The sequence below is a fragment of the Homo sapiens genome, chromosome 14 (assembly GCF_000001405.40).
Source record: "Homo sapiens chromosome 14, GRCh38.p14 Primary Assembly".
In the NCBI taxonomy this organism is placed as follows: Eukaryota; Metazoa; Chordata; class Mammalia; order Primates; family Hominidae; genus Homo; species Homo sapiens.
Window position 1 is genome coordinate 55,398,136 of NC_000014.9, and position 15,981 is coordinate 55,414,116.

General features: G+C 40.1%; 2 protein-coding genes and 1 pseudogene across 4 annotated transcripts in view, besides 1 other annotated feature; 1 reads left to right on the top strand and 2 right to left on the bottom strand.

Annotated features, from left to right (window-relative positions):
* ATG14 (autophagy related 14) overlaps positions 1 to 13,695 on the bottom strand; it is a 45,440-nt gene extending 31,745 nt beyond the window's left edge. Inside the window, exon 1 of the mRNA NM_014924.5 lies at positions 13,467 to 13,695. Within this exon, the coding sequence (NP_055739.2) occupies positions 13,467 to 13,687 (221 nt within the window). The 5' untranslated portion in view covers positions 13,688 to 13,695. The remainder of the gene's footprint in view (positions 1 to 13,466) is intronic.
* The window catches only part of FBXO34 (F-box protein 34), a 171,629-nt gene that overhangs the window by 126,715 nt on the left and 28,933 nt on the right, over positions 1 to 15,981 (top strand). The gene's annotated exons all lie outside the window — the stretch shown is intronic.
* Positions 13,685 to 13,984: a silencer, noted in NCBI's record as "silent region_5783". NCBI's record gives its function as "represses an Ori minimal core promoter by ATAC-STARR-seq in GM12878 lymphoblastoid cells {active_cell/tissue: GM12878}" and the evidence as "EXISTENCE:reporter gene assay evidence [ECO:0000049][PMID:35858748]".
* On the bottom strand, positions 15,405 to 15,967 carry RPL21P6 (ribosomal protein L21 pseudogene 6; annotated as a pseudogene).

The window sequence follows — 15,981 nt, forward strand, 5'->3', positions numbered from 1 at the left end:
AGAGACGGGGTTTCACTGTGTTAGCAAGGATGGTCTCGATCTCCTGACCTGGTGGTCTGCCCGCCTCTGCCTCCCAAAGTGCTGGGCTTACAGGTGTGAGCCACCGCGCCCAGCATAGTTATTATTTTCTATTTGCCAGTTTTCTATCTTTATTTTCTTCTTGCCAACTTACTTGGGTTTTTTGTTTTTGTTTTTGTTTTCTTTTTGCAGTTTAAGGTGATAACTCAGGTCAATTTTAAACTTCTATTCCTTTTAAATATAATCACATGAAGTTTAAAATCTCCTTCTATGCACTGTTATAGCTATATCCTAAGATTTGATATTGTGTATTTTCATTATCATTTAGTTTGAAACTTTTAATCTTCCATAAGAATCCTTCTTTTACCCATCCATTATTTAGAAGCATATTGTTTAATTTTCAGATATACAGGCTTTTCTAGGTAGCTTACTGTTATTGTTTCTAATTTAATTCATTCTGATGTAGTTACAAAATATATTGTGTGATTTCGATCTTGTAACCTGAGACTGTCTTATGGCTTTGCATATGGTATGCCGTGGAGAAAGTTCCACGCGTACTTGAAATAACGTGTATTCTACAGCTGTTGGGCAGTGTTCTATAAATGTCTTCTAGATCTGTGCTGTTCAATGTGGTAGCCACCAGCCACACATGGCTACTGAGTGCCTAAGATGTGGCTTGCTGCTTAATAAGGGCATGGACAAAAAAAAAAAAATTGTATGACTAACATCATACAACTGACTGTGGAGTGAACGTGACCCACTGACCATTTTCAAGGGAACAGGGATAATGACTCATGCTGCAGTAACATGATGTGGTGTTCAAGAATAGGCTTTTGGCTATTTCCCAGCAAAAAGGAAAACAATTCAACAGGCCATAACAGACCTAAAAATATTCTGGACAAAGAAGTCTTTCTAAAATACTATTTCTGTAATCCCATGTTGGAAACATACCCCAAGATGTCTGCTTCTAAGAGGAATAAATAAAATGGTCTAATCATGACCCTAACAAATTTAATAGTCACTGAAAATGCACAATATACATTAAACAGAAAAAGCAAATAGGCAATATTATATGTGACAGAATTATATACTTATAATGTGACTATTTAAATTTAAATTAATTAAAATTATATTAAAAGTTCAGTTCCTCAGTTGTACTGCCATCCACATTCCAACAGCCACATATGACTTACCGGATGGTGTACATACAGAACATTCCCATCATTGTGGAAAGTTCTACTGAATAGCACTGTAATGTCCAGTAAGGTGGCAACAGCATGAACCAGTATTAGAAAACTCAGAAACCAATGTGGAATGTGGATGAACCCATAGATTCATCAGTCAGTCTATCAGGCATTTACTATGTACCTGCAACACAAAACAAGGCATCCTCCAGAATACTAAGAAATCTAATTATAAATTCTCCTGCAGTTGACTGTGAATTCTTGGACCTATCACTTGTTATATGCTTCTGTTTCCTTGTATCAAAAATGAGAGACTAATATAGTATTTACTTTTATATCAGTGAGACAACAGGGTGATTTATGTTCTGATAATTAGAAAATAATAAACTCACAAGTTAGCAATCTCAAACCATGCAAAGGACTGACAGGGAAAATCAAATCTTGACTTCAGAGGCCATAAAAGTTCTCCTTTGAGGTCTGTTGTAAAAATGCCACTTTGCTCTAAAACAAATTGGGAAGACAGACAACTGTGTCTAGCTTAATAGTGAGCTGGTTGATTTTCTTGGACTTTGTTAAAAACACAAAAGAAACAAACTCTTACAAATATACAGATGGCAGCAGGAATAACAAACAAAAGATAAGTCCTAGTGTATCAAATATTGAAAGGAATGGCAAAAACAGCAATTACTTTTGCACCAACCTAATACTTCATGAGTCACGTCCTCCTTCATGAAAGAAATCAAAAATAGGTGGTGTCAGTAAAGCAAAAGAGCAAATGATACCAAACCACATGCGTGGGTCAGGGCTGCAACTGCTCACTCAGTCACTCATCCAGGCTCTGCAGTCTCCATCCCACCACTCACAGAAGGAGATAAAAAATTCATTCCACAAGTCTGTGCTTTCTCAATACAGCTTCCAAGAGGTGAAAAATAGAGTATCACTATATTCAAACCAAATTTAATGATACATATTATATATATAGTTTTTAAAAGTGTGTGTAGGGGGATCCATATTTCACATATTGTTTTCCAAATTGCAGCTGTCACATAAAGTATCTTGGTCTCTTTTTCCATGCCAGAACATATTGATCTAATTCACTAATAGGTACACGGCATTTCACTGGATGGACACCATATAATTTATTTATATAAACCTCTACAGGTGAACACCATTCTTCCTTCCAAATTTTCACTATGATCAGTAACGATACAAGTGAATAGCCTAGTGCACTTTTATAGGCTTTCAAGTTTCTCCATGAGAAATTCCTACAAATAAAATAAACTGGGCCGGTGCGGTGGCTCACACCTGTAATCGCAGCACTTTGGGAGGCCAAGGCGGGTGGATCACCTGAGGTCAGGAGTTCGAGACCAGCCAGGCCAACATGGCGAAACTCTGTCTCTACTAAAAATACAAAAAATTAGCCAGGTGTGGTGGCGGGCACCTGTAATCCCAGCTACTTGGGAGGCTGAGGCAGGAGAATTGCTTGAACCCGGGAAGCGGAGGTTGCAGTGAGCTGAGATTACGTCACTGCACTCCAGCCTGGGTGACAGAGTGAGACTGTCTCAAATAAATAAATAAAATAAAATAAAATAAAATAAAATAAAATAAAATAAAATAAAATAAACTGCTTAGTCAAAGAATATTTACAGCAAAATTGTGGGCAATCCTCAAATTTCCTCTAAAACACTTTATACAGTTTACAACCCCACCAACAGCACCTGTTTTCTCACACTCTCCCCAAACACTGGACATTTCTTTTTATTCTTTGCTAATCTGATTGGCCTCCCATCCCTCCCTCTGAGAGATGGTTTGTAATTCATTTATTTGCATTTATTTCATTATGAGAAAGTTTGAACAACTTTTCATATTTTACTGGCTACTGATTTTTCTTGTTATTTCCCTATGTCCTTCATCCAATTTTTTATAGTTTTTTTTTTCCTTTGAGGATTATTTAGCAGGGAAATTGGCCATTTTTATTTCACACAAATTATTTTTTCTATTTTCATGTTACTTATGTTTCTGCTCTACAGAATTTTCTGAACTTTTATGTAGGCATACATCTTTTTGTTGTTGTTGTTTAATGACACTAGTTTTTGTGCTGTTTTCTGAAAGAAATCTGCCAGTGAACCTGTTCCATGCCTGGCTCTTACAACACTATTTTCCGTATTTTCTCTCCCAATTAAAAAAGTCTTCTATATTATTCACTAAATTATTCCATACTTATATGATTTGGGTTGTTCCCCCCTAAAAAGTATTCTCTCAAATGAACTTTGTTGTTTCATAAATTCTTCCATACTTTTATGACTTATGATTTTTTTTTCTGTTAAAAAAAGGTACTCCCTTAAACTGACTTTCCAGCAGTCCCTCTGTGATACAGATTGATGGGAACAAGGAGAAGGGTGCTCGCACACAGCCCCAGTGGCACCAGAGAAAGCACACAACCCAGCTCGGGCTTCAGAGGCAGCCACCCAGGAGCGCTGCCTGTCCAAGCTGAGACCTGAGGGTGAGCCAGAGTTGATCCTGTTAAGGGAAGGAAGGGTATGGAGGCAGAGAAAATTCTATGTAACTGCACCAAGCATTTCAACACGCCAAGTGGGAAAACAATGACGGGAGTATGCTACTAATGAGGTAGTGGTTATGAATGCGAGTCTCACTTCCACTCTGTTCCCCGGCTACAATCATGGGCAACTGAGTGGACCTAACCACAGGTCAGACAATTCACATAAATCTGCCTTATATTACCAGAAAAACAACACCAGGGCATGCACTCTATTAGGGATGCAGACTATTAATTCTGTGCTAGGAATAACTAGCCTCACCGTAACACCCACAATTTACTGAGCACTTACTATGTCCCAAGCACAGCACCTTTCATAACATAACTCTCACCCCTCCACCTGCCTGTCTAGTCCTTTCCCTCATCCTAGGGCTAAACATTTACTTTGTGCCTAAGGTTATGGCAATGAAAAGTCTCAGAAACACTACTAATGTATTTTAAGAAAGGCAAAAAATAGATTTCAAATAAGCAATTGAGGGCCTAAAAAAAAATATTCGACCTTTTGATTCGGTTATTGCATTTCAAAGAATCTATCCTAAGAAAATAACAGAGATGAGGAAAGATTCATGTTTGAAGGCACCAATCACAAAATCAGTCCTAATAGCAAGAAACTGGAAACTAGTGTTCAATGGGAGAAAGACTAAATGATAGTATATTGCCACAAAAGACATTAAAATATTTTTATCGGCAAAGATATGAGTATGCTTTTATTCTTTAATCATACAAGAGTATGATTTTCATAGGCAAATAAGATTTAAAAACCTGGTCCTTATCAGGATTTTTTAACTTTATGTTAGAATATTTAGGATATGAGAAAGCATAGCATAAATATATCCCACTGTCAGGAATAAAGGTTAAAAATCATTTACAGAAATTAGAAACAGGCCAGGTGTGGTGGCTCACACCTGTAATCTCAACACTTTAGGGAGCCTGAGGCAGGAATATTATTTGAATCGAGTTCAAGACCAGCCTGGCAACATAGTAAGACTCCATCTCTACAAAAAAAAAAAAAAAAAAAAAAAAAAAAAAAAAATATATATATATATATATATATATATATATATATATATATATAAATAGCTGGGCATAGTGGTGCATGGCTACAGTCCTAACTTCTCTGGAGGCTCAGGTAGGAGGATCATTTGAGCCCATGAATTAGAGGCTGCAGTGAGCTATGATCCTACACTATACTTTGGCCTGGATGGCAGAGTGAGAACCTGTCTCTCAAAACATAAAATAGAAACAAAGTGTTGTTTAGTTTCCTCATTTGTAAAATGGGAATAATGCTTACATACTCCTTGGTAAAGGGATTAAAAAAATGTGAAAGCAGTGGGTACAGATGCTTAGCACACACATATGCCAGCTTTCCATTTCTTCACTGCAACGAATGATTCTGCACTTAATCTTACCATGCATTAAACTCAACTATAGAATCAGACCACAAAAAGAGACTGAGGGATTATGAAACCAGGATAAGGCAGTTCTAACTACACTCGCTTCTTCTGCACACAGAGAAAATGTATACTACAGTTCCTTCATTCAGCTTACTCTAAACTGGGACAGCCTTTAGAAACAAAAATAGAAAAATTCATTTTTGTTTGTAAAATAGTAAATAAACAGAAAAATAAAAGGGATAGTCATATATAATCTTTTTTTTTTCATGAAGTGACCTGAATGATTCTAACTTTGGGTTTTAAAAAGATAAAAGTTTACAGCTGTAAAAGGAATAATATTGTGTACCGGCATGAAAAGACGTTTAGGTATGTTAAATGACAAAACAACAACAACATCAACAACAACAACGAACCAGCAAAATAGTATGTATTGTGTGATCCCACTTTGGCAGAGAATATGCATAGGATATTGAGGACTGTGCATCATCTATAATAGAGGCACCTTTATGTGGTGGGATTGTGAGAGAATTTTCCTATTTCTACAATGTTTGAGCTAAACATTTCAAAATTTCAAATGTCATATTTACAACATTTAGCTCTCTTTAAAAACATGCATTTTAGATTTAAAATGTAAATTTAAAATTCAAAATACTCAAATTCAACTACATCTTGTTTGAAGAAAATATCCAAAATAAAAATGTTTTTAAAATTTGATGGGATGGAAATGGTCACTGAGAGTTATTCTTTACCAAGGAGGAGACCCATGGAACTGACCTTCTGGGAGCCTGGATTATATAATTTACTTGAGGTAGATCAGCTCAAGAGGAGTTCACAAATATCTATCCCAAACAGGGTCTGATTATTAAGTGTACTAAGTTTTCCATTTTAAGACATGACTACAAATTCATCTGAAAAATATTTTAAAGGATTAAAGTAGGGCTGGAGACTTTCACTTGGCTCTGGCTGAAAGTAGTTCAATTTTACTAAAAAGACACTCACTGAAATCTCACAATGACACCTTAACCACAACCCTGATCCCTAAAGCACTCTGCTCCCTTCTAAAAGAAAACACATGCTCTCTCTTAATCCTTACACTGCCCTCTGGGATGTGCCATCACTGCTCTGCCATGCGCAAGTAAGCACTCAATTTCCATCATCACGTCAATTCAGTACCTTCCCTAGCAACAGGAAGTGGCAAATCTCAGGATTACTTTTATATAATCACATTTTATTTTCCATGAAGTATGTCTTTTGGTGTTCAAAAGAGACGAGATTATGAAAACTCTTTTGCATTATGACAGGCCTTGAAAATATCTAGAGGGAGAGAACCTGGGCATTCCAGGAATCTTCACACAAGTGGCAGGGTGTACAGGTGGGGGGTGCTGCCTCTCCAGGGTTAATCCCAGCCCTTGGTTCACTAGAGCACATATGACCTTCCAAAGATACAGCGCAATCTGTATAACAAAATGGAATGTTTTTCTTTTCCGATACTGTTATACACACACATGCAGAGTATAAAAATATAGTTCAGATCTAAATGTGAACTTAAGATTAGTATAACCCAGGAGTAAGTCAGCCACAACACCCCTGAGACTCAGTTTCCTCTGCTTAAAATACATTAATAACTCATGGGGTGAGGGTAGGGAAGAAATGAGATAGTAAATGCAAAAACCTTTTATAAGTTCTAAAAGGTATAATCATAAGAGTAGCCAGTGATACTAGCTGAAAATAAGTTATATTTTCTTAGCAGATCCACATTTTCTGGTGGAAATACCATAAACAAACTCCATGGGACAGGAATTGAGACCCTCTGAAGGACACAGTGAAACAGTCGTAAGGCTGATGAACTCTTGTCTACCTGTAGAGCTTTTGTTCTGCTGAGTTCAGTATACAGAATTGAATTCTCAAGACAATAGATTTTTACGGGCCACAGTGGCTGACAAACAAAAATATACTGAAGGGAGAACAGAAGTATCTAAAGGATATTTTTTGGATGTTGGTTGTGCCTTCCCCTTGAAATCTGCAATAATATTTAAATTTCTTCCTCATCCTTTATCCCATTTCTCAATTTGTTTAGGGCATGCATTTCTGTTTCCTGGCAAAAGTATAATCATATATTCTAAAACTTGTCAGTGAAGGTAATGTGGCATCATTCCTGAAAACATAATTATAAAGTAGTATCTATATGTTCATACAATTTGTCTCTCTTTTTAATCCACATGTGAAAATCAGTGGCTCCTAAACCAGCAGATACATTTCCCCAGGTATCCTTAGATTAATTCTCAGTCCCATTCCCCCACCTAACATGAACTGGTAACCAATTTCTTTCCTGTTGTGAGTGGAAAGATTACTTCAACCTATCAGGTATCTACTGGGTAGCAGTGCTATTTCTGGTGTCAGACAAATACATAATCCATACAGTTCTGTTCCTGTAATTTTAATATGTCCAGCAGTACAGATCCAAAGACTGTGTTGGAGGTACTGCCTAATATCATTCTTCTTCTTCATCCCTTAAGGAAGCATACAGTTTAAAAGGCAGATGACAGGGAACACGCCTTCAGTTTACACTGAAGCCTGGGTCTCCCCTGGGGGTGGGGTGGCGGGGGGGGCAGGGGAAGAAAAGGCAGATGTGAAAGCAGAGGAGGTATTGTTCAGGACTGGGGGCAAGGTGGGGGATGAGGAAAGGATGATGTGGGTGAGGATACCAAAGTTGTAGGGAAGTCTTCCCATCGAACAACGACAAAAAAATAATGAGTTTAGGTATTTCTCAACTAATCTGCCAAACTCATATTGTCCCCAAAAGTAAAGACACATGGTTCCCTTCTTAAGAGTCAAAGGAACTAATTAATGTGAGATCAATTTATTTCTTTAATACTTAATTTTCCTTGAGCTGCTAAACCACTAAAACCTAGATATTCAGCTAGTCTGTTAATGAAACCTGAAAAAAATACATTTACCTTTACAAGAACTTTGATATGCATTATCACATTCAAGATCCATGCAGGCACAGACGGTTTGGCTAATTTACTGAAAATCAGAGGTTAAACAAGGGTTTTAAAACTGTGCTGTAAGGTTCCAGATTTTATTAACAAGTGGTTTTCTACAGTTAGTGAGGGGCTTTTCATGAAGTTAAGGGGAAAAAGAGTCTAAAGGCAATCACAGAATCAAAATTTTCAAAAATTATGAAGATAGAATATCTCACAATCAACCTGTGGCCCTCAGAGTTCAAGGCCTATTGACAGTCGGTAAAAATCCTTGAGAGCAGAGACCTGTCTTTCTCCTCTGTATTGCCAGAAAATTTTGTGCACATAACAGTGCCCAATGAGAGCTCATTAAAAAATATCTGGCTATTAGAACAATGGTCCTGGGTCTCGAGATTCTTTCACCTTATTAGATACTGGGCACTATTCTGGAAACAAAGAAAAACTAACAAACTATTCTTCTTAAAGCACATAGTCTGGAAAAGAGAAAGATGGAGAGTTAGGTGAAGCTGACCTAAGCAGACCACTGTGACAGTCCTGTTATCCCTGAACCCTAAAATTTCTTTTTTATTCTAAATTTTGAATGGTTATTTGCTTTATATTTTTCTGCTTGGTCAGGAAAAGAAATCTACCACAACATATCTCTCTTCTGAAAATCTAATGCTCACATTTAGCCAAGAATTTTTGAGATTGTCTTTTTTTTTTTTTTTGAGATGGAGTCTAGCTCTGTTGCCCAGGCTGAAGTACAGTGGCGTGATCTCAGCTCATGGCAGCCTCTGCCTCCCAGGTTCAAGCAATTCTCGTGCCTCAGCTTCCCGAGTAGCTGGGTTTACAGGCCTGCAACACAACACCCAGCTAATTTTTGTTTTTGTTTTTTTGAGACAGAGTCTCGCTCTCTCGCCAGGCTGGAGTGCAATGGTGTGATCTTGGCTCACTGCAACCTCCGCCTCCCGGGTTCAGGCAAGTCTCCTGCCTCAGCCTCCTGAGTAGCTGAGACCACAGGCATGCGTGCCACCACGCCCAGCTAATTTTTGTATTTTGACTAGAGACGAGGTTTCACCATGTTGGCCAGGATGGTCTCGGTCTCTTGACCTTGTAATCTGCCCGCCTCAGCCTCCCAAAGTGCTGGGATTACAGGCGTGAGCCACTGCCCCCGGCCTCATTTTTGCATTTTTAGTAGAGATACGGTTTCATCATGTTGGCCAGGCTAATCTCGCTCTCCTGGCCTCAAGTGATCCGCCTGCCTCGGCCTCCCAAAGTGCTGGGATTACAGGCATGAGCCACTGCGCCCAACCCCTATGTTGAGTTTTAAAAGTTGTATTGCTTTTGACATTCCTTCAACAACATGCCTAAGTTCTGCTACCTGCTGCTGCTGGGCTGGTGATCTGAAAGAACAAGACCAGAATTCATGCCTTCATGAAACTACATTCTGGATGTGGCTATCTTCCTCAAATAAATAATATTACACATTGTGTGTGGTACCATGAAAGAAATAGGGTACTGTGATAGCAAATAATGAATAGGGGAAAAGATGGAGGTGGGAACCTATCTTAGTGAAGGAGGTCAGGAAAGGCCTCACCGAAGAAGTGGCCTTTAAGTTGAATGGTGAAAGACAAGGTATCAATCAGGAGGAAAAGTGTTCCAGGCAGAAGAAACGGCAAGGAAAAAGCCCCATTGGTGGAAGTTTCATGTGACTGAGGATTTGAGAGAAGGCCTACAACTGTGGAGCAGTGAAAAAGAGGGAGCACAAGGATGAACTTATTTGAGTGCGTAATACATTCTAGGCATCATGCTAACCACTTTAAATGCATGCTTTATGTAATCACTACTAGAAACCTATGAAGTTAGATACCCTGCCATTTACAAAATGAAATAAACATGAAGTTAAGAAACTTGCTCAGGGCCAGGCATGGTGGCTCACACCTGTAATTCCCGCACTTGGGGAGGCTGAGGCTGGTGGATGGCTTGAGCTCCAGAGTCCAAGACCAGCCTGGGCAACATGGCAAAACCCTGTCTTTACAAAAAATACAAAAAAACTAGTTAGGCGTGTTGATGTGCGCCTGTAGTCCCAGATACCAGGGAGACTGAGACAGGAGAATCGCTTGAGAACAGGGAGGTCAAAGCTGCAGTGAGCTGTGATCTTGCCACTGCACTGCCTGGGTTACAGGGTGAGACCCTGTCCCCTCCCCCCTCAAACAAACTTCCTCAAACTCACATAGCAGCCAGGCGTGGTGGCTCATATCTGTAATCCTAACACTTTGGGAGGCTGAGGCAGGAGGACTGCTCAGCCCACAGGTTCGAGATCAGCCTGGACAAGATAGGGAGACCCTGTCTCTACAAAAAATTTAAAAATTAGCCAGGTGTGGTGGAGCATGCCTGTAGTCCCACCTACTCAAAAGGTTAAGATGGGAGGATTGCTTGAGCCCAGGAGTCTGAGGCTGCCGCATGCCATGATTGTGCCAGTGCACTCCAGCCTCGGTGACAGAGCAAGATCCTGTCTCAAAAAAAATAAAATAAAATAAATCACGTACCAAGTGGTAGAGCTTGGAATCAATTCAAGGGAGCATGAGTCAAAAGCCCACATTTTAAACTCAACCTTAGAGTCTAAATTAGAGAGGCAAACAGTAGCCAAATCACATGAGGCTTCGTATGCCATAGTAAGGAGCTTGGATTTTATTTTAAATGCAATGGGAGCCAATGAAAGGTTTAAGCAAAACAGTGACATTATCTTATTTACATTTCTATTGTGGCTGCTGTTTGGAGACCAGAGGCAAGGTAAGGAAGAGTTGTCTGACTAAAAGAAGGGAGATCACTACGTAGTCAGGAGAGAAATGATGGTGGTCTGAACTAAAACTCGGATAGATTCAAGATATATTTTCACATCAAAGTGAATTAGACTTGCTGAGTTTTGGATGCAGAGAGGAAGAGAAAAAGAAAAGTATAGGATAACTCCCAGTTTTCTGGCTTTAGTAACAAATGGATCATGATGAATAATACTGAAACGGTCTAGAAACTGAGTTTGGGAAAGAGGGACAGAGTCAGTTCAATCATTCCATAAATCTTTATTGAGTTTCTACTATGTGAGAATACAACAGTGTATAAAAGAGAAAAACTCTTGCCCTCATAGAGTTTATATCACTGGGGTGGGGGCAGTTAGACAAATTAATATGTACAACCATCACATGGTGGTAAGTGTTATGGAAAAGAAAAGATAATAAAGCTGGTTAAATACGCATGAGGTTAGCATTTTAATAGAAGGATCAGAAAGAGTCTAACGTATGAGCAGGCACCTAAAAAAAAAAACAAAGGAGGCAGCCCTGAAGATTTCTGAGAGAAAGAGTTCCTGGCTGTCTAAATACCACTGCGAAGGTCCTGAGGAAGGAGTGTTCTTGGTATGTTTGAGGACAGACAAGGAGGCCACAGTGGCACAGCAGATTAGGTAAGGGAGAAAATAATAGGAGATTAAATCAGAGGAACAGATAATATAGAACTTTGGTTAAGGACTCCAGCTTTTACTTTGGGTAAAGTGAAAAACCACTGGAAGATTTGAACAGAAATGGAGGAGTAGCATAACTGTGGCTGCAATATGGAAATTGTACAAAAGGGGAGCAAGGACGGAAGCAGAGACATAAGAGGAAATAAGTTTATGTCTCTGGTAGATTGGACCAGGTGATGGTGAAAGGGTAAGATTTAAGATAAGTTTTGAAGAGTAGATGGGATTTGTTGTAAGATAAGTTTTGAAGAGTAGATGGGATTTGTTGATGGGACTAAACAGAGTTGGGTTAAGAGAGGAGTCAAGGAGAACTGAAAGGTTTTTTAGCCTGAACCAAAGGAACAATGAGATTGACATTTACTGGGTTGGGATGAGCATGGGAAAACAGATTTATGATGGAAAACAAGGAGTTCAGTTTGCCATATTAAAATGAAGATATCTATTACAAATCTAAAAATATTGATGTTGAATAAGCAGCTGTTTTCTGGACTTTAGAGAAGACTAGGTTGGAGATACAAGTCTGGCAGTCTTAAGCATATAGATGGTATTTAAATTATGTGAATAGACATAGTAAAACGTGTAGACAGACAAGAAGGTCCAGAACCAAATCCTCGATTCACTCCATCAGTTAGACATTTCCATCTCATACCCCGTATTCTTATAACTGGTTTAATTTTTAAAGCTATCACTTACTACATAAGCAGTTTCTAAAGTCATCAAGAGCACCAATAAGACACAGCAACAAAACTAAAAAAGAGTTTGTCATTCAAACCTCCTCAAAAGAGAAAGGAAAGAACTCCATCCACGATCACAGAAATACTAAGAACTCAAAACATTCCCAAATATAGAGGATATAAAGTCTAGTGGTTAAGTGCGGGTACATAGGTCCAAGCTGTCTGAATTTTAATTCTTGTACCAACACTTAACTATTTGTGTGACCTGGGGCAAAGCACTTACTGTGCAGCTTCCTAATAAGTTGGGGATAAGTCATTCGGTTGTTGCGAATGAATTAATACCTGAATTTTTGTGCTCAGAATGCTAGCTATCTTACTATCATTGACTATCATTGACACTAAATTGTTGAAACATAAGTTGAGAGTGGGAGATCCTGCAGCTAATCACACTAATTTTTCAATTTTCTTAACCAAGAACTTGTAGCTGTTTAGATTTCGAAATGAAACCAAAACATTTTCCTAAAGGCAATTCTCTTAACTAAAAGCATGCAGCTCCCAATCTGAATTTTAAAACAAGGCCAAAACACGTTCCCAAATTCCTAAGAATCTAAAATAATCTTTAGAGGCAGGGAGGGGAAAGGGGCGTTAACAGCAAGCCTCAATTCACACATTAGAGTAAGCATGTCTGATAACAAAGTCCATCTGTGACAGACTACCAGGCCCAAATCCCTCTAAAGCAGTTATTTGATTCTCTTCTACTCTCTCCTCTAGAGAATGAGTATAAATATGCTTTCGAAAATAGAAAGCCAAGCTTTTGAATGGGAGTACATACAGCAAAGAGCTGGGAATCTAACTTAATGGCAGCAACGGGAAAACTTCTCCAGAGAGTCACCACTTATTCCTTTTTTCCCCAGTGACCAAGAGCACCGTGGGGTCAAACTCCTCTTGGGTGGGTGATGGGGAAACGGCGACCTTCCCTCATCTGGCCCCTACGCTGTCCTCTGGTAGCAAAGCTCCGGTGCAGAGCAGCTAGCTACACTCCCTCTCTCTCGCTCCTCTCGCTGGTATCTGGTGCCCGGACGGGGAGCCCCAGGTTCCAGCCTTCGGCTGCCTGGCTGGAGGACACACAGCAGAAGAAACAATAGGGCCGTGGCGGCCGCCGTACCTCTCCCGGTCGCGGCCGTCGAAGTAGACGAAATCGCCGCTCTGAACGCATTTGGCGCAGGTCAGCCGCCGGCGGGTAGTGTTGCACAGCGGGCAGCGCTCCACAGCCACGTACAGCCCCTCCGCATCGTCCACGGAGTCCACCAGGTCCCGGGCGAGCGGCCGGGGCCCGCAGCCAGGAGCCTCCAGCGCCCGGGCTCCCTTCCCACTGGGAGACGCCATGATGGCCTGAGAGGAGAGCCAGTCACGTGGGATTTTGTTTTCAACCGGGTGCATTCTGGGCCAGGAGGAGGGGCCTGGGGAAGGGGGGCTGGGATGCCGGCGAGCCCCCGGACCCCTCCGCCGCCGCGTGTTCCTGTCCCGGGCACTGTTGTTTTTCCGGTCTGCTGAGGGGCAACAGGTCCCGAAGCAGGGGGAGAGTTATATTAGAGGGGCTAGTCGGCCAAACAAAATGTCATCTGCTGGCTCAGGCCAAGACTACGAGTTAAAGCCTCAAACTTGTGCAGAAAATTGTAATACCATACCCTAAGGATTCTGGGAAAACGGAATGGGAGCGGAATAAGGGAATTTAACTTGCTGTGGATGCTTTAAAATCTGGCTAAACTACAGCAAACAAAGTAGGGTGAAGGGGCTGGGTCTTGGAACTAGGTTGAATTTTGGCTCACTCACCTGCTTAATAGCTGTGTGACTTGGGGCAAGTTCCTTAATCTCTCTGCGCCTGTTCTCTCGTGTTAAATGGATAGAATTATAGTACCCATCTAATGCCGTGAGGATTAATATGGTTAATAGTATTATACTTTACCAATAGTGAAAACAACCAAAGTGAACGTGCAAAATCAGAATTGTATCCTTCTGAAAAGTTAATCACGTGGCTAACGTACCTTCCCTACCCTGGGCCATGCTCTAAGAGAATTTGAACTAGGTAGATGGTTAGGACTTCCCTTCAAGTTTCTTTTGGTGGATAGGGGATATATAAGGTGATGTGTTGGGAGGATCATATCAGAGTAATTAGTGTTTGAATATGCCTCTAAACTACAGAGAAAAGTGAGTTTATAGGTGAGATTAAATAGACCAGTGATTCTCAAGGATGATTTTACTAGGCTATCTACTGATAAACTGCCCTGAATTCTCTCTCTAGCCAGGATTCCTTTCTCAAGTTCCATACCCAAAGATCCAGAACTACTTACTAGGTATCAGGTGACATTCCAGGACACCACAAACTCAAAGTGTTGGAAACTGACTTCTGCCTCCCTACAAACCTGTTTTCTTACTTTGGTAAAGGACGTAATCACTGATGATTTACAGCCAAGAGCCATGATTCATATTAGCCCGTCCCTCCCTGTTAATCTCCACATCACCATCGAAAACTGGTGATTCTACAAGCTAATTAGGTCTTGAATCTGAGCCCTTTGCTCCTCCGTCTTCTTAATCTTACCCAGTCTTTTTAAATACAAATCACGTAGGATTACAAAAACAAGCAAAAGCAAAAATTCTCTATATTCAGAATACAGTTTACACTAAACTTGAATGGTTCCTGAAAGTTTAAGATTTATTTTTAAGTGAGAAGTCTTTCTCTCTGATCATTTCAAACAAAAGGATTATTTTTTAAGGTCTCGGGCTTATGTTTCATTTGTATTCAGACAGGATCCTTCACAGTGCTTAATACCTAATGATCAGGATCAACTGTTCAATATTTTAAAAGGCAAAAAATACACATTAATTCCTATCGTGCTAGATGATATCACAGATAGTATCTAGCTTATGCAGTTATTTGAAACTCCTATATGTTGCTATATATTTTCAGAGAACGCATATTAATGTATTACTTAACAGCAGAGCACTGAGGTTTTTGGATACAAAATGTAGTTTAAATATTTCTTTAAGGGGAGGGGGCGGCGCCACACTTCTCAATGAAGAGAAACATTTGTACAGTTCAGAATTTTTTTTGACACCTATTATGCCATGAACTCATAGGGAATAGGTTCCAGCAGCCCAGGCTCCCTCCATTGGTTCTAAGTGCTTGTCTGGGTGGAGCAGGCTGGCGCTTCAGTTGAACTCAGACACCTCTCCCTTTGACGTCTTTTTCTGATTATTTACCTTCACGCGTTTCAGGAAACTTACTTGGCTCTTAGAGTGCCAAGGCCCAGGCAGATGGATCAACTGAGGTCAGGAGTTCAAGACCAGCCTGGCTCAGTAAGCACATTCATTCTCTTGGCAAAAATCTTGCCCTTGTTTACAATGCCAACAGCATGCTGGGTAACACTGTAGACTCTTCCAGCTTTGCTGTGGTAACATTTGCGGAGCACTCCTTTTTGAAAAGCAGCCATTCCCTTGATGTCTACAATATCACCTTTTTCGTAGATTCGCATGTATGTGGCCAAAGGAACAACTCCATCTTTTCTAAAAGGCCTAGAGAACATGTATCAGGTGCCTCACCTCTTTCCCTTTGTGTTCGTCATTTTGGCAAATTACTGGAAGATGGCCCTTCCGGCTAAAAGGAAACGCATTGAGTCTTC